Source organism: Homo sapiens, chromosome 3, assembly GCF_000001405.40.
Source record: "Homo sapiens chromosome 3, GRCh38.p14 Primary Assembly".
Classification (NCBI taxonomy): Eukaryota; Metazoa; Chordata; class Mammalia; order Primates; family Hominidae; genus Homo; species Homo sapiens.
In genome coordinates, this window is record NC_000003.12 from 48,832,716 (window position 1) to 48,855,529 (window position 22,814).

The window sequence follows — 22,814 nt, forward strand, 5'->3', positions numbered from 1 at the left end:
CACAGGCAGTGCACCAAGAGCCACTATAAAAAGATCCTTAATGAGCAAAATATATCCCCTATTATTTTCCTACAAGTTGCTTTTTACTTGAGTAGGAACCCTTGATTGATTTTTGCTGAGCAAACAGTCTTGAAATAATTCCATTCTTTGACAGAGCTAAAAACTAAGGCTGCTGTGTGCCAAAGACAATGAAAACAAGTTCCTCATACAGTCTCCAGATTGTGCAAATACATCCAATCTGACCTTGCCCACATATTATGAGTCTGTAGCTTGTCCAAGAGCCCCAAGTGCATTTGATCCTTCCAATGACAACATTTCAAAAGCTGCTTGTAGGTTATTGAAAATGAATTAGCAAAGCTCACTTTTTGTATTAACACTGGCGCAATCACAGCTCACCATAGCCTCAAACTCCTGGGCTCAAAGAATCCTCCTTCCTCAGCCCCCCAAGTAGCTGGGAATACAGGTGCACATCACCATAACCCAGCTAATTGTTTTAATTTTTTGAAAAGATGGGGGGTCTCGCCATATTGCCCAGGCTGGTCTTGAACTCTTGGGCTCAAGCAATCCTCCCACCTTGGCCTCCCAAAGTACCAAAATTATAGGCGTGAGCCACTGCACTCAGGCTAATTTCTTAAAATAATCATATTTCCTTAAGAAGCGTCACCATATAAACAGCCCACGGTTCCTCTTGTGTTTAGAAAATTGTTTCTTGCCAGGCGCAGAGGCTCACCCCTGTAATCCCAGCACTTTGGGTGGCCGAGGCGGGTGGATCACCTGAGGTCAGGAGTTCAAGACCAGCCTGGCCAACATGGTGAAACCCCATCTCTACTAAAAACACAAAAATTAGCCGGATGTGGTGTCAGGCACCTGTGTAATCCTAGCTACTCGGGAGGCTGAGGCAAGAGAATTGCTTGAACCCAGGAGGCGGAGGTTGTGGTGAGCCAAGATCGCGCCATTGCACTTCAGCCTGGGCGACAAGAGTGAGACTTGGTCTCAAAAAAAAAAAAAAAGAAAGAAAGAAAGAAAATTGTTTCTTCCGGCCAGGCGCAGTGGCTCACGCCTGTATTCCCAGCACTTTGGGAGGCCAAGGAAGGTGGATCACCTGAGGTCAGGAGACCAAGACCACCCTGGCCAACATGGTGAAACCCCTTCTCTACTAAAAAATACAAAAACTAGCCGGGCATGGTGGTGTGCACCTATAATCCCAGCTACTTGGGAGGCTGAGACAGCAGAATCGCTTGAACCCGGGAGACAGGTTGTAGTGAGCTGAGATCGCGTCACTCCACTCCAGGCTGGGCAACAAAGCAAGACTCCGTCTTAAAAAAAAAAAAAAAAGAAAAAAAAGAAAAAGAAAATGGTTTCTTCCACCCAGCCATACTCTCATAGCCACTTTACAAAAGGGCAACACAATCAAAAGTTTACTGCCGTCCAGCAGTAAAAGCTCAGAAGGAGAGGAAAAATAGGCCACATACATTTTTAGCTAAATAAGTGGAGGTCAGGGTCCATACGGAGCAGAAATCCCATATTCTCATACCTCTTCATACCTCTTCAGTGTGAACCAAGCAAAGGAGGAGAGTAGCTCTCCTGTGAGGTAGAGGCATAAATCAGACTGTACTTCAGGTATGTGACACCTGAAGCACAGCAACACGGAAAAAAAACAATAACAAACAAAAAAGAGCTAAAATTGTACTTCATAAAAATTTTAAAAACTTTTATGCTTTAAGAATGTGAAAAGAAGGCTGGGCGCAGTGGTTCATGACTGTAATCCCAACACTTTGGAAGGCTGAGGCAGATGGATCACTTGAGCCCAGGAGTTCAAGACCAGCCTGGGAAACATGACAAAATCCCACCTTTACAAAAATTAGCCAGGCGTGGTGGTGCATGCCTGTAGTCCCAATTACTTGGGAGGCTGAGGCAAGAGGGTTACTTGAGCCTGGGAGGTCAAGGCTGCAGTAAGCCATGATCATCGCTGCACTCTAGCCTGGGCAACAGAGTGAGAACCTGTCTCAAGAAAAAAAAAAAAAAAAAGGTGAAAAGACAATTCACAAAATGGGAGGAAATATTTGCAAATCACTTATCATATAAGGAACGAGTTTCCAGACAAAAAGTTTCAACAACAAAAAGACAAATAAACTAATAAAAAATAGACAAAAGACTTGAATAGACTTTTCTACCAAAAAAACATACAAATGGGGGCAGGCCACAGTAACTCACAAATTCCCAGCACTTTGAGAGACTGAGGCAGGAGGATCACTTTTTTTTTTTTTTTTTTTTGAGACAAAGTCTCATTCTGTCACCCAGGCTGGAGTGCAGTGGCACGATCTCAGGTCACTGCAATTTCCGCCTCCCGGGTTCAAGTGGTCTTCCCACCTCAGCCTCCAGAGTTGCTGGGACTACAGATGTACACCACCACGCCTGCAAATTTTTGTATTTTTAGTAGAGACGGGGTTTCCCCATGTTGGCCAGACTGGTCTCGAACTCCTGATCTCAAGTGATCTGCCTGCCTCGGCCGCCCGAAGTGCTGGGATTACAGGCGTGAGCCACTATGCTTGGCCTGGCAGATAACTTTTGAAACCAGGAGTTCGAGACCAACCTGGCCAACATGGCGAAACCCTATCTCTACTGAAAAAAAATGGCAGGGTGTGGCCGGTTGCTGTGGCTCACGCTTCTAATCCCAGCACTTTGGGAGGCCAAGGCGGGCAGATCATGAGGTCAGCAGATCGAGGCCATCCTGGCTAACACGGTGAAACCCCATCTATACTAAAAATACAAAAAATTAGGCGGGCGTGGTGGCAGACGCCTGTAGTCCCAGCTACTCGGGAGGCTGGGGCAAGAGAATGGTGTGACCCAGGAGGCAGAACTTGCAGTGAGCGGAGACTGCACCACTGCACTCCAGCCTGGGGGACAGAGCAAGACTCCGTCTCAAAAAAAAAAAAAAAAAAAGCCAGGTGTGGTAGCTTATATGCCTACAGGCTGAGGCAGGAGAATTACTGAACCCAGGAGGCGGAGGCTGCAGTGAGCCAATCGTGTCACTGCACTGCAGCCTGAGTGACAGAGCAAGACTCAGTCTCAAAAAAAAAAAATTCTAGGGACCCAAAATAGCCAAAACAATTCTAAAAAAAGAATGAACTTGGAGAACTCATACTTCCTGATTCCAAACCTACTAGAGTTATCTATAGTAATCAAGACAATGTGATATTAGCATGTGGTCAGACATATAAATCAATGGAACAGAACTGAGTCTAGAAACTGACTCACATTTACAGTCAATCCATTTTCTTTTTTTTCCCCATGTTACTGAGTCCATGCATAACAATCAATTTTCAACAAGAGTACCAAGACAATTAAGTGAGAAAAGAATAGTCTCTTCAACAAATGGTGCTGAACAACTGGATATTTACATGTAAAAGAATAAAGTACTCGGCCAGGCACGGTGGCTCATGCCTGTAATCCCAGCACTCTGGGAGGCCAAATCAGGTGCATCACGAGGTCAGGAGTTCAAGACCAGCCTGACCAACATAGTGAAACCCCGTCTCTACCAAAAATACAAAAAATTAGCCAGGCGTGGTGACGGGTACCTGTAATCCCAGCTACTCGGGAAACTGAGGCAGGAGAATCGCCTGAACCCAGGAGGCGGAGGTTGCAGTGAGCCAAGATTGTGCCATTGTGCACTCCAGCCTGGGCGACAGTGCGAGACTCCGTCTAAAAAAAAAAAAAAAAAAAAAAAAAGAAGAAGAAAGCTTTTTTAATATATATATATTAAAAAAAAAAAACTCAAAATGTACCAAAGACTTAAATGCAAAAGATAAAACTATAAACTTCTAGAAGAAAATACAGGGGTAAATTTTCATGACCTTGGATTTGGCAACGGTTTCTTAAATATGACACCTATAGCACAAACAAGAAAAGAAAAAAGACACATCCGATTTCATCAGAATTAAAAACATTTGTGCTTCAAAGGACACCAAAAAAGTGAAAAGGCTGGACACAGTGGCTCATGCCTATAATCCCAGCACTTTGGGAGGCCAAGGCAGGAGGATCCCTTGAGGCCAGGAGTTTATGACCAACGCTGGCAACATAGTGAGACCCAATCTCTACTAAAAAAAAAAAAAAAATTTTGTTTAGTTAGCCAGAGGCCAGGCACATTGGCTCACATCTGTAATCCCAGCACTTTGGGAGATGAGGCGAGCAAATCACCTGAGCTCAGGAGTTCGAGACCAGCCTGGGCAACATGGTGAAACCCCATCTCCACAAAAAATACAAAAATTAGCCAGGCATGGTGTATGCCTGTAGTCCTAGCTACTTGGGAGGCTAAGGTGAAAGGATCGCTTGAGCCTGCAAGGGTTAGGCTGCAGTGAGCTATGATTGCACCACTATACTCCAGCCAGGGTGACAGAGACCCTGTCTCAAAAATAATAATAATAAAAATAAAAATTAGCCAGGTATGAAAAAAAAAATTAGCCACTTATGGTGGCGCATGAGCCCAGGAGCCCAGCTATGGTGGCATGAGCCCAGGATTTCAAGGCTGTAATGACCTATGATTCTGCTAATACACTCCAACCAGGGCAACAGAGTGACACCCTATCTTAAAAAATAAGAAGAAATGCAACTGACAAATACATGGAAAGATGTCCACTCAACATCATTAGTCATTAGAGAAATGCAAATCAAAACCACAATGAAGTACTACTTCACACCCACTAGTTTGGCTATAATAATTTTAGAAGACAGATACGTTCAGACAAGGATGTAGAGGAATTAGAATCCTCAAAACACTGCTGGTTGGAATGTAAAATGGTTCAGCCACTTTGGAAAACAGACTGGCAATTCCTCAAAAGGTTAAACAGAGCTACTATATGGCCCAGCAATTCTACTCCTATGAGAAATGAAAACAGCTCCACACAGAACTTGTACACACAAATATTCGTAGCAGCATTATTCATAATAGTCAAAGAGTGGGAACAATCTATATGTCCATCAACATATGAATGGATAAATGGTATATCCAGAAATGAATGGTATTTCCAGACAACAGAATAGTATTTAGCAATAAAAAGAAATGAAGTTTATTTAGAACAAGTGGAAAAAGGAAAAAAAAAAAAAAAGTACTGATACATGCTTACAACATGGATGAACCTTGAGTACATTATGCTAAGTGCCAGCGGCAAAAGACCACATATTGGCTGGGCACGGTGGCTAACGCCTGGAATCCCAGCACTTTGGGAGGCTGAGGCAGGCGGATCACAAGGTCAGGAGATCGAGACCATCCTGGCTAACACAGGGAAACCCCATCTCCACTAAAAATACAAAAAATTAGCCGGGTGTGGTGGCGGGCGCCTGTAGTCCCAGCTACTCGGGAGGCTGAGGCAGGAGAATGGCGTGAACCCAGGAGGCGGAGCTTGCAGTGAGCTGAGATCACGCCACTGCACTCCAGCCTGGGCGACAGAGCAAGACTCCGCTCAAAAAAAAACAACAACAACACATATTATATGATTCCATTTATATGAAATATGCAGGATAGGCAAATGGTAGAGACAAAAGTAGATTAGAGGATGCCTAGGGATGAGGGGAATGAGGGTGTTGGTGAGGTGATGACTAAAGTGTATGGTGACCGGGCGCAGTGGCTCACACCTGTAATCCCAGCACTTTGGGAGGCCGTGGTGGACAGATCACCTGAGGTTGGGAGTTCGAGACCAGCCTGGCCATCATGGTGAAACCCCATCTCTACTAAAAATACAAAAATTAGCTGGGCATGGTGGCACATGCCGGTAATCCCAGCTACTTAGGAGACTGAGGCACAAGAATTGCTTGAACCCAGGAGGGAGAGATTGTAGTGAGCTGAGATCTCACCACTGCACTCCAGCCTGAGCAACAGAGAGAGACTCCATCTTTAAAAAAAAAAAAGAAAAAAGAAAAGAAAAACAAAACAGTATATGGGACTTTTTTTGGAGTGAGGAAAAATGTTCTAAAAATTGTTATGGCGCCAGGCGCGATGGCTCATGCCTGTAATCTCAGCACTTTGGGAGGCCGAGGCAGGCGGATCACGAGGTCAGGAGATCGAGACCATCCCGGCTAACACGGTGAAACCCTGTCTCTACTAAAAAAAAAAATACAAAAAATTAGCTAGGCATGGTGGTGGGCGCCTGTAGTCCCAGCTACTCGGGAGGCTGAGGCAGAAGAATGGCACGAACCTGGGAGGTGGAGCTTGCAGTCAGCCGAGATCGCGCCACTGCACTCCAGCCTGGGCGACAGAGCAAGACTCCGTCTCAAAAAAAAAAATTGTTATGGTTGGTCAGGTGCAGTGGCTCATGCCTGTAATCCCAACACTTTGGGAGGCCGAGGCAGACAGATCACCTGAGGTCAGGAGTTCAAGACCAGCCTGGCCAACATGATGAAACCCCATCTCTACTAAAAACACAAACATTAGCCGGGCGTGGTGACACGCGCCTGTAATCCTGGCTACTCGGGAGGCTGGGGCAGGAGAATTGCTTCAACCCGGGAGGCAGAGGTTGCAGTGAGCCAAGATCACATCATTGCATTCCAGCCTGGACAACAAGAGCAAAATTCCGTCTAAAAAAAAAAAAAAAATTATTATGGTGACGGCTGCACACAGATATGAAAAACCAATTATACATTCTAAATAGTTGACTTGTATGTGAAGCATATCTCTATAAAGCTGTTACCTAAAAAAAAAAAAAAAAAATGCTGAGAGACCGGCAAGTATAAATGCTTTATGGTAATTACAGAAGTGAAACAATTCTGAATGTCGATTTATTGTTTGTATGCAGCTACAGTAATTTATTAATAAGTTTATACTCTTCAGGCATCTCTCAACATTAAATACGCATTATAATACTTTATACTTTGAAGTTATGTCCTGTTTGATATTAAAGCTGTTATTAAAATAACAGCTAGTAAGTTTTTTGACTCTTTCCAATAGGATACAATTTTATAAACTGAATTGGTGGTTAGTCACAAGGACCTCACTAAGCAAAGCTTCCTTGCTATATACAGTTATTACATATGATACTTCTTGTTCTTTTTTTTATTGGCTCTGGAGTTGAAACATATCCTATTTCTAATTTAAGTAGTGTAGACTTATTCTAATGTCATTGGGTATACAATTCATTTTTTCTTCCTTTTTAAATTGTGGTAAGATGTACATAAAATGTGCCACTTCACCATTTTAAGTGTACAATTCAGTGTCATTAAGTACATACATTGTGCAACCATCACCATTATCCAACTTCAGAACTTTTTCATTATCCCAAACTGAAACTCTGTACCTATTAAACAATAACACCCTATTACACCTTCCCCCAAGCCCTCGGTTAGCTCTCTTCTACTTTCTGTCCCTATGAATTTAGCTACTCTGGTTACCTTCTGTAAGTGGAATCATACATTATTTGTCCTTTTGTATCTGGCTCATTTCATTTAGGATAATATTTTCAATGCTGTAACATGAATAAGAATTTCATTCCTTCTTAAGGATGGTCAGGTATGGTGGCTCATGCCTGTAATCCCATCACTTTGGGAAGTCGAGGCGGGACGGGTGGATCACCTGAGGTTGGGAGTTTGAGACCAGCCTGGCTAACATGGTGAAACCCCGTCTCTACTAAAAATACAAAAACTAGCCAGGCATGGTGGCACACGCCTGTAATCCCAGCTACTCGGGAGGCTGAGGCAAGTGAACTGCTTGAACCCAGGAGGTGGAGGTTGCAGTGAGCAGGATCGTGCCACTGCACTCCAGCCTGGGAGACAGAGCAACACTCGGTCTTATGTATATATATACCATATTTTGTTTATCCATTCATTTATGGATGTATACCTGGATACCTGGTTTGTTTTCACCTTTTTTTTTTTTTTTTTTTTTTTTTTTGAGACGGAGTCTCACTCTCTCGCCCAGGCTGGAGTGCAGTGGCACAATCTCGGCTCACTGCAAGCTCTGCCTCCTGGGTTCACGCCATTCTCCTGCCTCAGCCTCCCGAGTAGCTGGGACTACAGGCACCCGCCACCACGCCCGGCTTATATTTTGTATTTTTAGTAGAGACGGAATTTCACTGTGTTAGCCAGGATGGTCTCAATCTCCTGACCTCGTGATCCGCCCACCTCGGCCTCCCAAAGTGCTGGGATTACAGGCATGAGCCACAGGGCCTGGCCCACCTTTTTTTTTTTTTTTTTTTTTGAGACAGTTTCGCTCTTGTTGCCCAGGCTGGAGTGCAATGGCGTGATCTCCGCTCACTGAAACCTCCACCTCCTGGGTTCAAAAGATTCTCCTGCCTCAGCCTCCCGAGTAGCTGGGATTACAGGCGCACACCACCACACCCAGCTAATTTTTTTTTTTTAATTTAGTAGAGATGGGGTTTTACCATATTAGTCAGGCTGGTCTCAAACTCCTGACCTCAGGTGATCCGCCCGCCTCGGCCCCCCAGTGCTGGGATTACAGGCACGTGCCATGTTTTCACCTTTTGACTACTGTAAATAATGCTGCAATGAGCACTGGAGTATAACTATCTGTTTAACTCCCTGCTTAAAATTATTTTGGGTAGGCCGGGAACGGTGGCTCACACCTGTAATCCCAGCACTTTGGGAGGCTGAGGCAGGCAGATCACAAGGTCAGGAGTTTGAGACCAGCCTGGTCAATATGGTGAAACACCATCTCTACTAAAAATACAAAAAATTACCCAAGTGTGGTGGCGCATGCCTGTAATCCCAGCTACTCGGAAGGCTGAGGTGGGAGAATTGCTTGAACCAGAAGGCAGAGGTTGCAATGAACCAAGATCCCGCCACTACACTCCAGCCTGGGTGACAGAACAAGACTCTGTCTCAAAAAAAAAAAAAAAAAAAAAAAAAGGTGTTTTGGTTATATACCTAGGAGTGAAATTGCTCTACCTATGATAATTCTATGTTTAACTACTTTTTGAGGAACCACCAAATTGTTTTCCACAGCAGCTGAACCATTTTACATTCCCATGAGTAATGCACAAGGGTTCCAACATCTCCACATCTTGGCTATTTTCTGTTTTTAATACCAGCCATCCTAACAGGTATGAAGTATCTCATTGTATGCAATGTATTTTTCATTTATTATTTGTAAATAGAAATCCACCTTGTAGTGATTTCTATAATTATGTAGCGCAGCCACCTGAGACACCAAAAATACTTAAATACCAATAAAATAGGGTACAAAGATTTTAAGTCAACTCAATTTTGAAAAAGGTATCAAAGATGACAAAGAATGACGATATAATACAAAAACTTGTCACTGAATTATAAATTACCTTGGACAGTATGGCCATTTTCACTATATTGATTCTTCCTATCCATGAGCATGGAATGTTCTTCCATTTGTTTGTATCCTCTTTTATTTCATTGAGCAGTGGTTTGTAGTTCTCCTTGAAGAGGTCCTTCACGTCCCTTGTAAGTTGGATTCCTAGGTATTTTATTCTCTTTGAAGCAATTGTGAATGGGAGTTCACTCATGACTTGGCTCTCTGTTTTTCTGTTATTGGTATATAAGAATGCTTGTGATTTTTGTGCATTGATTTTGTATCCTGAGACTTTGCTGAAGTTGCTTATCAGCTTAAGGAGATTTGGGGCTGAGACAATGGGGTTTTCTAGATATACAATCATGTCATCTGCAAACAGGGACAATTTGACTTCCTCTTTTCCTAACTGAATAGCCTTTATTTCCTTCTCCTGCCTAATTGCCCTGGCCACAACTTCCAACACTATGTTGAATAGGAGTGGTGAGAAAGGGCATCCCTGTCTTGTGCCAGGTTTCAAAGGGAATGCTTCCAGTTTTTGCCCATTCAGTATGATATTGGCTGTGGGTTTGTCACAGATAGCTCTTATTATTTTGAGATACATCCCATCAATACCTAATTTATTGAGCGTTTTTAGAATGAAGGGTTGTTGAATTTTGTCAAAGGCCTTTTCTGCATCTATTGAGATAATCATGTGGTTTTTGTCTTTGGTTCTGTTTATATGCTGGATTACATTTATTGATTTGCGTATATTGAACCAGCCTTGCATCCCAGGGATGAAGCCCACTTGATCATGGTGGATAAGCTTTTTGATGTGCTGCTGGATTCAGTTTGCCAGTATTTTATTGAGGATTTCTGCATCAATGTTCACCAAGGATATTGGTCTAAAACTCTCTTTTTTGGTTGTGTCTCTGCCTGGCTTTGGTATCAGGATGATGCTGGCCTCATAAAATGAGTTAGGGAGGATTCCCTCTTTTTCCATTGATTGGAATAGTTTCAGAAGGAATGGTACCAGTTCCTCCTTGTACCTCTGGTAGAATTTGGCTGTGAATCCATCTGGTCCTGGACTCTTTTTGGTTGGTAAGCTGTTGATTATTGCCACAATTTCAGATCCTGTTATTGGTCTATTCAGAGATTCAACTTCTTCCCAGTTTAGTCTTGGGAGAGTGTGTCGAGGAATTTATCCATTTCTTCTAGATTTTCTAGTTTATTTGCGTAGAGGTGTTTGTAGTATTCTCTGATGGTAGTTTGTATTTCTGTGGGATCGGTGGTGATATCCCCTTTATCATTTTTTATTGCGTCTATTTGATTCTTCTCTTTTTTTCTTTATTAGTCTTGCTAGTGGTCTATCAATTTTGTTGATCCTTTCAAAAAACCAGCTCCTGGATTCATTAATTTTTTGAAGGGTTTTTTGTGTCTCTATTTCCTTCCAAGGTAATTTATAGATTCAATGCCATCCCCATCAAGCTACCAATGACTTTCTTCACAAAATTGGAAAAAACTACTTTAAAGTTCATATGGAACCAAAAAAGAGCCCGCATCGCCAAGTCAATCCTAAGCCAAAAGAACAAAGCTGGAGGCATCATGCTACCTGACTTCAAACTATAATACAAGGCTACAGTAACCAAAACAGCATGGTACTGGTACCAAAACAGAGATATAGATCAATGGAACAGAACAGAGCCCTCAGAAATAACTCCGCATATCTACAACTATCTGATCTTTGACAAACCTGAGAAAAACAAGCAATGGGGGAAGGATTCCCTATTTAATAAATGGTGCTGGGAAAACTGGCTAGCCATATGGAGAAAGCTGAAACTGGATCCCTTCCTTACACCTTATACAAAAATTAATTCAAGATGGATTAAAGACTTAAACGTTAGACCTAAAACCATAAAAACCCTAGAAGAAAACCTAGGCATTACCATTCAGGACATAGGCATGGGCAAGGACTTCATGTCTAAAACACCAAAAGCAATGGCAACAAAAGCCAAAATTGACAAATGGGATCTAATTAAACTAAAGAGCTTCTGCACAGCAAAAGAAACTACCATCAGAGTGAACAGGCAACCTACAAAATGGGAGAAAATTTTCGCAACCTACTCATCTGACAAAGGGCGAATATCCAGAATCTACAATGAACTCAAACAAATTTACAAGAAAAAAACTAACAACCCCATCAAAAAGCGGGCAAAGGATATGAACAGACACTTCTCAAAAGAAGACATTTATGCAGCCAAAAGACAAATGAAAAAATGCTCATCATCACTGGCCATCAGAGAAATGCAAATCAAAACCACAATGAGATACCATCTCACACCAGTTAGAATGGCAATCATTAAAAAGTCTGGAAACAACAGGTGCTGGAGAGGATGTGGAGAAATAGGAACACTTTTACACTGTTGGTGGGACTGTAAACTAGTTCAACCATTGTGGAAGTCAGTGTGGCGATTCCTCAGGGATCTAGAACTAGAAATACCATTTGACCCAGCCATCCCATTACTGGGTATATACCCAAAGGACTATAAATCATGCTGCTATAAAGGCACATGCACACGTATGTTTATTGCAGCACTATTCACAATAGCAAAGACTTGGAACCAACCCAAATGTCCAACAATGATAGACTGGATTAAGAAAATGTGGCACATATACACCATGGAATACTATGCAGCCATAAAAAATGATGAGTTCATGTCCTTTGTAGGGACATGGATGAAATTGGAAACCATCATTCTCAGTAAACTATCGCAAGGACAAAAAACCAAACACCGCATGTTCTCACTCACAGATGGGAATTGAACAATGAGAACACATGGACACAGGAAGGGGAACATCACACTCTGGGGACTGTTGTGGGGTGGGGGGAGGGATAGCATTAGGAGATATACCTAATGCTAAATGACGAGTTAATGGGTGCAGCACACCAGCATGGCACATGTATACATATGTAACTAACCTGCACATTGTGCACATGTACCCTAAAACTTAAAGTATAATAAAAAAGAAAAAAAACTTGTAAACTTTTACTCATCTGAGGCTAATTTCTAAAATCCTAAAGTGTTGTGTAAATAAAAATTGTCTCAAAGCAGGTTACTGCTTTGTGATTTACAGAGATGACAGTGAAACAAACCTGAAATAAAGCTTTTAAAAACAAATTTGTCCCTGGAAGATTGTTGTCACTGTCCTCAACTTAAAGATAAGAAAATCTGAGATCAAACAGGTTTGAGAATTTGTCCAAGACCACAAAGCAAACCTGTGGCAGAGTTTAGAAAATAATTTCTGATTTCCCAAAAACCCATGATGTAATGTGCAATAAATCAAGGGAAACCCAGAAGAGCCCTTGTTACTCCTTTAGCATGAATACACTTAGGGAGATTGCCCAGTGCACTGAAGCTTGTGACCTCCCACAGCAATGACCGTTAATTAACTCCTTCCCTGCCGTGACTTGAATACTGGGCCAGACCAGATACAACTCAGAACTAGTTTTGTGTGTGTGTGATCTAATAACACTAAGATCCTAACTTGGCCTCTCAAATGGTTTCATTGTTTTGTTAAATTTTAGTTGTTCAAAAGTAGGCCAATTCTACTGTTAAATTGACAAAGCATATGTTGAAGCAACCAAGGAAACTGTAATAGCTTCTTAACACTCTTGCGTAGATCAGATGTAGAAAGTGTTATTTTGGACAGGAGCAGTAGCTCATGCCTGTAATCCTAGCACTTTGGGAGGCCAAGGCAGGAGCATTACTTGAGGCCAGGAGTTCAAGACCAGCCTGGGCAACACAGGGAGACCCCGTCTCTATAAAACACTTAAAATTAGTAAGGCATGGTGGCACATGCCCTTAGTCCCAGCTACTTGGGAGGCCCAGGTGGGAGGATACCTTGAGCTTGTGAGGTTGGGGTTGCAGTGAGCCCTGATTGTGCCACTACACCCCAGCCTGGGTGACAGAGCGAGATCCTGACTTTAAAAAAAAAAAAAGGTGTGATGATCTTGGATCACCAAATCTGTGAGGGGAGGGACAGTCTCCAACTTGTTTCCTGCTCGGTCCTTATTGCGTACTCTTGGAGTTTATTGCAAACTCTTGGAGAAGGTTTACTATTACTAAATGATAAATCCTGACACAGCAAGTAGAGCCAATGAAGCTGCTCTCCTGATCTCAGTCTCTGCTGGGATCCTTTCCTTTAAAGCTACAACCCACCCACTAAACAAGAATATAGTTACTGGGTTTTTCCTTTTTCTTTTTTTTTTTTTTTGAGACGGAGTTCGCTCTGTCGCCCAGGCTGGAGTGCAGTGGCATGATCTTGGCTCACTGCAACCTCCGCCTCCCAGGTTCAAGCGATTCTCCCTGCCTCAGCCTCCCAAGTAGCTGGGACTACAGACGCCCGCCACCACGCCCGGCTAATTTTTGTATTTTTAGTAGAGACGGGGTTTCGCCATGTTGGCCAGGCTGGTCTCGAACTCCTGACCTCAGGTGATCCACCCGCCTCGGCCTCCCAAAGTGCTGGGACTACAGGCGTGACCCACCACGCCCGGCCAGGTTTTTCGTTTTCAAAAATGAGGTAGGGTGTCTATTTTGCCCAGGCTGGTCTCGAACTCTTGGATTCAAGCGATATTTCCTCCTCAGCCTCCAGAGTAGCTGGTATAGACTATAGGGGCCCACTGCCCCGGCCGGCAAGATAATTATTTACTCTCACCAAATTTGATTCAATCGTTTTGGCCAAGTTTTTAAAAATAGGAATATTCCCAGGGACCATGTTTGAAGAAATACAAACTCAAGTAAGCAGAGGTGAAATGACCTGAGAGATTTGCTTTAATACACTTCGGCAAAGAAAGAAAAAAGGTATGGATGAAACTTTGTGACAAACGCAACTGTTAAATGTAGGTGATGGCATATAGGGATTCATCTCACCTTTCCTCTTTTGTCTATGCTTAAAAGTTTTCACAGTAACTTTTCAAAAAAAATTATTATTTCCAAACAAACTTACTGTCCTATCAATTAAACACAAGTCACTGGATGAGAACGCTGTTGTCTTCGAAGCCAAAACTGGTGAAGGGTCTTAAGCAAAGGCGAGGGATCCTCTAGCAGGGCCGACAGCGCGCACGTTTCCTTCAAGGCTGGATCTGACAAATCACTCGGTGCGCTCTAGGGCTCGCAGGATCGCGGAGCTCAATTTGGAAGTGGCGCACGCGGGCTCACGCCGGTGTCTCAGGGAAACGCTAGAAACGCGGCTACAGAGCTCCCAATCCCAGCCTGCGGTCGGCTTGGCTGCGGCGCGACACCTGGCTCCCTGCCACCCCTCTAGACCTCTGGAGACCTCCTGCACCACTCCCCAGGGCCCCGCCCACAGCCTACCTTCCAAGTCCTCGTCCTCCTCCGACTCGCTGTCCCCTTTGGCGTCGGCGACACGGTCCGGGCCGGGTTCTGGCGGGGGGTGGCCCAGGCTCTGGCGTGGGGTGGCGGCGGGCAGGACTGAGGCTGGGGCGCGGGCCTCGCGCAGGCGGGTGAAGTACTCCACTGCGAATTCGACGAGGTCAGGCGGCTGCTGTCGCAGCACCTCCACCGTGTAGCCCTGCAGCAGCTCCGTGAGCCCCGGCGGGATCTGGATGTGGCTCATGCCGGCGGCGGCCGAAGGGATAGACGGGTTGGGCCGCCGGCGGCCACTGTCTCCGCGCTCACTCACGCCGGCCTTTCGCTCCGCGCCCGCGAGGTCTCTTCGCGCACGGCCCCGGCTCACGTCGCGCCGCTCTTTGGCCGGCTCTGCGTTTCCGGGCCGCGCAACCCTACGCTACCACGGCCGACCTGGCACCGCCGCCGCTGTCACTGGGCAGCCGCCGCCGCCGCGGGGACCGACGGGCAGGCGAGCTGGACGGGCGGGGCAGGCGTCCTGGTTGTGACGCACGCCACCGCGGGCGTGCGCGTCCCCGCTTAGCACCGGCCCTCAGTGCGCTTGCGCCACTAGATGACCCGCCCCCTCGGGCTGTCGGGGGGTCGAGACAGTGGAGTGTTCCTGATGCCAGCTCACGGAGGGAATCCAGGGAATTAGGTAATGAACGGTCTACCCATGAAGGGGACCGATTAGTGCCTCTCGCCTGGTCCTGAAGACCTTTAAATTATTCTTTCAGCTGATGCCAAGAGCCTCTTTTTGGCCAGCACTTACTAAGCACCAGAGACACAGCGAGAAGCAGAAGCATACGAGCACATCAGTGTGATTCTGCTGTGATGAAGGGCAAGAGAGGGCTCACTTTCCGGCGTGACATTCAAGCTAGCCCCGAGGCCTGAGCAGGACCCGCCCAGGGGAAGATCTGGAGGAAAGCCATCTGAACATACAACAAGAGCAAAGGCCTGGTGGAGTCAAGACCACCTTGGCTGCCAGGTGGAATGGTGGAATAACTCAGGAGTCTGTCAGGTCTCTGAGATGTCAAACGGGTAAGGCCTTGTAGGAAGTAGGCGTTTGAATGAGATCATAATTTGAGAGCCACAGACAGAAAAATAAATTTGAAAGAGTTCACTCAGCCAAATGTGTACAGTGAGAAAGGGAAATAAGGCCAAAAGCAGCAAAGACCTCTGTGCCTGTTCCTCCTGGAGCACTTTCACCAGGGTCCCCAGATCTAGGTCTGCCCATTCCTCTCCCCACATTCTACACTGGGCCCTAGGTCAACACTGCTTGATGAAGTTGAGCAGACCACAGGCATTGTTATCCTTTGCCCCTGGGAAGATGGTATAGGTGAACTGTAGAGGCCAGACTATTTCCCAAATTGCCCTCCTCCTCCTACCAAACTGGAAGGGTATTGAAAAAGGTGGAGACCTTCCTGGGATGTCCAGTCTACAGCCTACGTGCTAACCAAAGGCCCACTGGGCATAGAGCAGAGTCCCCCTCTCCTTACAGGCCTAGCCAGGAAGAGAGTAGCTGTAGGTTTGGGAACCTGAGGGCATTTGGGATGCTTAAACACCGCCTGGTAATTACTCAGTATTAATTAAAATCCTCCCTATCACCTCCCATACAGGCTTGGCACACACCCAGGAGCTCAATGCTGCTGGGAGCTGAGCAGCTGGGAGCAAGGAGCCCTCATCCCCACTGATGAAGAGGCCAGCCCAGGTTCTAGGCTAAGCAGGCCTGTGATTATAAACAGCAGTGTCTCCCTGGACAAGTTTCTTGACCCTGAGAAGAATGTTAGACCATCAACTTTGTGAGGGGACAGGCAGTCTCCAACTTTTTTCCTGCTCAGTCCTTATTGCATACTCTTGGAGAAGGTCTACTGACTTGTTCTCAGATGCCCCACGGCTCAGCCAACCACCCATCCAGCAGAGCATTCAAAAGGCATCTGGAAGGAATGAGGGCGACCGTTCTGCCAGGCCCCTATTTTTTTTTGAGAGGAGTCTCACTCTGTCGCCCAGGCTGGAGTGCAATGGCATGACCTCTGCTCACTGCAAGCTCTGCCTCCCAGGTTCAAGCGATTCTCCTGTCTCAGCCTCCCAAGTAGCTGGTACTACAGGCGTGCACCACCACACCCAGCAAATTTTTTCTATTTTTAGTAGAGATGGGGTTTCTCCATGTTGGCCAGGATGGTCTCAATCTCTTGACCTCGTGATCCACCCGCCTCAGCCTCCCAAAGTGCTGGGATTACAGGCGTGAGCCACCGCACCTGGCTTTTTTTTTTTCTTTTAGATGGAGTCTTCCTTTTGTCGCCCAAGGTGGAGTGCAATGGCACGATCTCAGCTCACTGCAACCTCCACCTCCCAGGTTCAAGCAATTCTCCTGCATCAGCCTCCTGTGTAGCTGGGATTATAGGCACCTGCCACCATGCCCAGTTAATTTTTGTATTTTCAGTAGAGACGGGGTTTTGCCATGTTGGCCAGGATGGTCTCGAACTCCTGACCTAGGGATCTGCCCGCCTTAGCCTCCCAAAGTTCTGGGATTACAGGCGTGAGGCACTGCACCTGGCCATTTTGTTTGTTTGGGTTTGTTTTTGAGATGGAGTCTTGCTCTGTTGCCCAGGCTGGAGTGCAGTGGCATGATCTCGGCCCATTGCAAGCTCCACCTCCCGGGTTCATGCCATTCTCCTGCCTCAGCCTCCAGAGTAGCTGGGACTACAGGCGTGCGCCACCATGCCCAGCTAATTTTTTGTATTTTTTAGTAGAGACGGGGTTTCACCATGTTAGCCAGGATGGTCTGGATTTCCTGACCTCATGATCCGCCTGCCTTGGCCTCCCAAAGTGCTGGGATTACAGGCGTGAGCCACCACGCCTGGCCTGTTTGTTTTTTTGAGACACAGTCTTACTCTGTTGCCCAGGCTGGAGTGCAGTGACGCGATCTCGGCTCACTGCAACCTCCACCTCCCAGGTTCAAGCGATTCTCGTGTCTCAGCCTCCCAAGTAGCTGGGATTATAGGTGCGCACCACCACGCCCGGCTTATTTTTTGTATTTTTAGTGCAGATGGGGTTTCACCATATTGGCCAGGCTGGTCTTGAACTCCTGACCTCAGGTGATCCGCCTGCCTCAGCTTCCCAAAATGCTGGGATTACCAGCATGAGTCACCACGCCCGGCCAAGAAAGACCCATATTTTGTTTTGTTTTCTTTTTTGAGATGGAGTCTTGCTCTGTCGCTCAGGCTGGAGTGCAGTGGCGCAATCTCTGCTCACTGCAACCTCCACCTCCTGGGTTCAAGCCATTCTCCTGCCTCAGCCTCCCGAGTAGCTGGGACTACAGGCGCACACCACCACGCCTGGCTAATTTTTGTATTTTTAGTACAGACAGGGCCAGACTGGTCACGAACTCCTGACCTCAGGCGATCCACCCGCCTCAGCCTTCCAAAGTGCTGGAATTATAGGTGTGAGCCATCGCACCTGGCCACCAGACCCCCATTAACTTCAGTAGGGATGGCACCAGGTTTGAGAGGCCAAAAGAGATCCAGAGCCAGCAAACAAGACTTAGGTTTGATTGAGGGGAATTTGCATACAGAGCAGTCCAGTGGAGGTGGGCTAGATAGGAGAACTGCCCCACCTGCAGAAAGTATGCAGTATATATAGCATTTTCACTTAACACCCTCCCCCTAACAACTTTGATTTAACCCAAAACAAAGGGGCTAAATCCCCTGTACATCCACAGGACAGAATGGGGGCTCAGATATTCCTCATGGGTAAGTAATGAATCTCTGGCTTGTCCTCACTTGGAACTCCTAACACATTCAGGTGCATCTGCCATACAGGGTCATTCTCAGAGTATGCTTAAGTTATTGCTGTCAGGTGCAGCTACCATACACAGGTGTGTCTGCCATATAGCCACAGAAAGCAGGAGTCCTACAGCTGCTCCTCATGGGTCTCCATAGACTAGTCTTAGAGCAAGGATGGGCAGCCAGCCTCCAGGTTTAACCTGGCACTCTCCCCCAGCACTTGGTCCCCAGAGCAGGGGTGCATCTCTCCCACTTCTGGTCAACCCTTCAGTAACAAGTAGAGCCCCCAGGGTCTTCATGAATATCTAGTTGAACTGGCTAAAGAAGAGGGCCCTGTAACAGGACAGAACACCAGGAGCCTGAACCCCGCATCTTCTACCCTTATCCTGCATTTATCCTGCCTGCATTCAAGCCTGTCCAGCTGCACCACTGGAGGTTACCATGGCAACTAAACCCAGAGGCAGCCGGTAACTGAGATACAGCTGCCAAGAGCAACTGATGGTGGAAAAGGCCAACAGCAGAGACTCTTAGAAGGAAGAGAAGTACACAGGAGGAGGCCCCAGAACCCTGAGGGTGCTACACTCAAATCTAATCCTACTCACAACTCAGCAGGCAGTCAACGTCTTGCACAAACTGCCATATCACCAACCAGAGGCACAGATATGGACACAATGGGGCCAATTTGCAGAGATGTTTGCAACTATGGATGCAGAGTAGCACAGGTGGGACACATGTTGTTTAGCCCAAAAGCAACGGGTCTTGGTGAAAACGAAAATGGGTAGGGTACCATTGCTGTTTCCAATGAAACAATGAATTTTGTGTGCTCTTGATAGGTTTGTTATTCAAACGTTTCTGTCTGTCTCTCCAAGATGAAGAGAGGGGCCTAAACTTCCCCGAACTCCTCTGAAGGCCTGCTCTTGGCTCAGATCCTCCAGCTTAAATACCTTATGCCCTCTGCATACTTGCAGGACTCAGGTCCAGCAGGAAAACCTCCCTCTTACTTGATCAAGGGACCACTTTTCTAAGCCATTCCAGTCCCCCACCCATTTCCTGGGATCCGCTGGTCACCTGACCACCTCTACATGCCAGGCCCTCCTGGATTTAGTACTCCCAGCTCACTTAGTTCCTACAAGCAACAGCTTCTATGTTGCCTTAGAAGTGTTCATGAGCCTTTAGTTGGCAAGAGAGATTGAGGAAGTGGGCTATGTTTTCTCGGCCCTTACCCAAGCTGTCTTTCAGCCTCTACTGTGGCTCCTCCAGCGAGGCCATTGCCTTTTGCCCAGGAAATCTAATCTGTTTTAACAAGTGCCCATGCTCCAGGGAGCAGTTAGCTCCCAGGCCACGTTTGTGTACCTGTGAGCCATCCCCACGCCTGAGACACTATGTCCTGAGAAAATGTCAGTCTCTGCAGTGGACCCAGGGTCTGCATCTGAGACACCTCAGGGCAAGGACAGAACCTAGAAAGCACAGGGAAGCTGGCTAGAAAATCACAGGTCTGCATGCTTACCATAGCAGAGAAAGCAGAAAAGGGACCCCTCAGGGACACCTGGCCCTGGGGCCTTCCCAGTGCTGTCAGGACTCTGTGTGCCACTCCTGATCTGACTCACAGGCCAAGTACCTAAGCTTGGACCAGGTGGTACAGACAGGTCTCCTGGAGCCTGGATCAAGCCTCTGATAGCATCACAAGTCTTTCTTCAGGAGACCCAGACAATCCCCACTTTATTATCAATTTGCCAATGACCTTTGCAGATCAGTTTACCCTGTCTGAGCCTTGGCATCCACATCTGAAAGTGGAAGTCAAAATCCCTACTCAGAGGCTTGGTGCAGTGGCTCATGCCTGTAATCGCAGCACTTTGGGAGGCCAAGGCAGGCAGATCACCTGAGGTCAGGAGTTTGAGACCAGCTTGGCCAACATGGTAAAACCCCATCTCTACCAAAAAATACAAAAATTAAGGCCAGGTGTAGTGGCTCACACCTGTAATCCCAACACTTTGGGAGGCCGAGGTGGGTGGGTGACTTGAGGTCAGGAGTTCAGGACCAGCCTGGCCAAAATGGCGAAACCCCATCTCTACTAAAAATACAAAAATTAGCTGGGCGTGGTGGTATGCACCTGTAATCGCAGCTACTCGGGAGGCTGAGGCAGGAGAATCACTTGAACCTGGAAGGCAGAGGTTGCAGTGAGCCAAGATCCAGCATCGTGCCACTGCACTCCGGCCTGGGTGAAAGAGGGAGACTCCATCTCAAAAAAAAAAAAAAAAAAAAATCCCTACCCATTAAACATTGAGTTACAAGGGGATAAAGAAATAAGAGAATAAACTTATAAGGAGGTTACAAAAGATGTAAGGGGTTCCAGCCTCAAAAGGCTGTAAGGAGGCTGGGCACGGTGGCTCATGCCTATAATCCCAGCACTTTGGGAGGCTAAGGCAGGCGGATCGCCTGAGGTCAGGAGTTCGTGACCAGCCTGGCCCCGTCTGTACTGAAAATACAAAAATTAGCCACGCGTGGTGGTGTGCACCTGTAGTCCCAGCTACTCGGGAGGCTGAGGCAGGAGAATCACTTGAACCCAAGAGGCGGAGGTTGCAGTGAGCTGAGATCGCTCCACTGCCTCCAGCCTGGGTGACAGAGCAAGACTCTGTCTCAAAAAAAAAAAAAAAGGCTGTAGGGAAACAACTGTGGGGTAGAGATAGTATGACTTTATAGCTGAAATGGTGCTACTGTGCTTTTAACAATCACTGTTGCAACAACCTGTGCTCCTTCCCTCACCTTTGGCCCAGTTATATGCTTCTTGATGCCTGGGTGAGGCTTTTATCACCAATTGGTTGTTTAAAAAAATCACTGTCTGGCTCCCAGTTGTGACTGTCTGTGAAAGAGAAATTGCTAGGGAGGCCCCAATTTTCCCCTACTCCTTACCCCTGTCAGGAAGAGAAGAGATATATCAGGAACAGGTGGCATTTCAAAGTGCATCATAAAAAGGAAGCACCAGCCAGGAGGGAGTTACTCAACATCTGCTCTGCTCCCATCACAAATATGCCTCCAGGGGCTTCCCTATTTGACTTAACATCTATTGAACACCCAAAGGACTAAAATAATCTACCATCACTAACATCAAAGAACCAAAATACTCCATTTTAAAATGGAAAATTTTTCAAAGGGCAAATTATCCAGAGGCACAGACTGTAAAAGTGATCCTAAGCCATGGGAATGGCTGGCATTTGGCTGAAATGCAAATACATTTACAGGGGCTTCTAGGCAAAAGCTGAGGTTTTTGAATAGTCTCAGCCGGGTGTGGTGGCTCACACCTGTAATCCTAGCACTTTGGGAGGCTGAGGTGGGTGGATCACTTGAGGTCAGGAGTTCAACACCAGCTTGACCAACATGAGGAAACCCCATCTCTACAAAAAATACAAAAATTAGCTGAGCGTGGTGGCAGGTGCCTGTAGACCCAGAGGCTGAGGTAGGAGAATCTTTTGAACCCGGGAGGTGGAGGTTGCAGTGAGCTGAGATCATGCCACTGCACTCCAGCCTGGGTGACAGAGCGAGACTCCATCTCAAAAAAAAAAAAAAATTTAAATTTAAAATTCAGAACAGTCTCAGGACTGGGTGATATCAAGAAGAGCTTCAGGCTGAGCACAGTGGTGCATGCCTGTAATCCCAGCACTTAGGAGGCTGAGGCAGGAGCCCAGGAGTTCAAGACCGGCCTGGGCAACATAGGAAGACTCCATCTCTACAAAAAATAAATATAAAAAATTAGCTGGGCATAGTAACACATGCCTGTGGTCCCAGCTACTCAGGAGGCTGAGGTGGGAAGATCACGTGGGCCCAGGAGGTCAAGGCTTCAGTGAGCCATGACCATGCCACTGCACTCCAGCCTAGGTAACAGAGTGAACCCTATCTCAAAAAATTTTTTTCTAATAAAATAAGATTTAAAAAGAAGAGCTTCAGGAGACACATATATGGCCATCTTCAAATCAATGAGATATTAAACAAAGACATCCTGCAGCGTTAGAGGAAGCAGGCTTAACATTTAATTAACCTTGCCAGACAGAGGATACACAATTTTCATCTTTAAAAACTGTTCATCCTTGGCCACATAGTGAGACATCATCTCTACAGATTTTTTTTTAATAGCCAGGCACAGCAGTACACTACAGGTGTACTGTATAAGTGTCTATAGTTCCACCTTCTTGGGAGGTGGAGGTGGGAGGATCATTTGAGCCCAGCAATGAGCTGAGCTCTGATCTCACCACTGCACTCTAGCCTGGCGGACAAAGTGAGACCCTGTCTCTAAAAAATTTAATTAACAAAAAATAAATTTTTTTTTGAGATGGAATCTCGCTCTGACACCCAGCATGGAGTGCAGTAAGGCGATCTTGGCTC

The 22,814-nt window shown here is 46.2% G+C and overlaps 1 protein-coding gene and 1 long non-coding RNA gene across 11 annotated transcripts in view, besides 1 other annotated feature; one reads left to right on the forward strand and one right to left on the reverse strand.

Moving 5' to 3' along the window:
• PRKAR2A (protein kinase cAMP-dependent type II regulatory subunit alpha) overlaps window positions 1-15,159 on the reverse strand; it is a 103,284-nt gene extending 88,125 nt beyond the window's left edge. For all 9 annotated transcript variants that reach the window (XR_002959546.2, XM_011533942.4, NM_001321989.2 and 6 more), the window contains exon 1: window positions 14,620-15,159. Coding sequence is in view for 8 of the 9 variants with exons in the window: in XM_011533942.4 (XP_011532244.1) it covers window positions 14,620-14,881 (262 nt within the window). In the remaining variant the exon portion in view is untranslated. The remainder of the gene's footprint in view (window positions 1-14,619) is intronic.
• Window positions 14,972-15,301: a silencer, noted in NCBI's record as "silent region_14340". NCBI's record gives its function as "represses an Ori minimal core promoter by ATAC-STARR-seq in GM12878 lymphoblastoid cells {active_cell/tissue: GM12878}" and the evidence as "EXISTENCE:reporter gene assay evidence [ECO:0000049][PMID:35858748]".
• PRKAR2A-AS1 (PRKAR2A antisense RNA 1) lies at window positions 15,222-19,267 on the forward strand. 2 transcript variants are annotated; one of them, NR_109997.1, is made up of 3 exons: window positions 15,222-15,310; window positions 15,390-15,693; window positions 16,272-19,267. It is a non-coding gene; the product is annotated as a PRKAR2A antisense RNA 1 (long non-coding RNA). The 2 variants fall into 2 exon arrangements; NR_109996.1 differs by having other exon boundaries at window positions 15,222-15,693.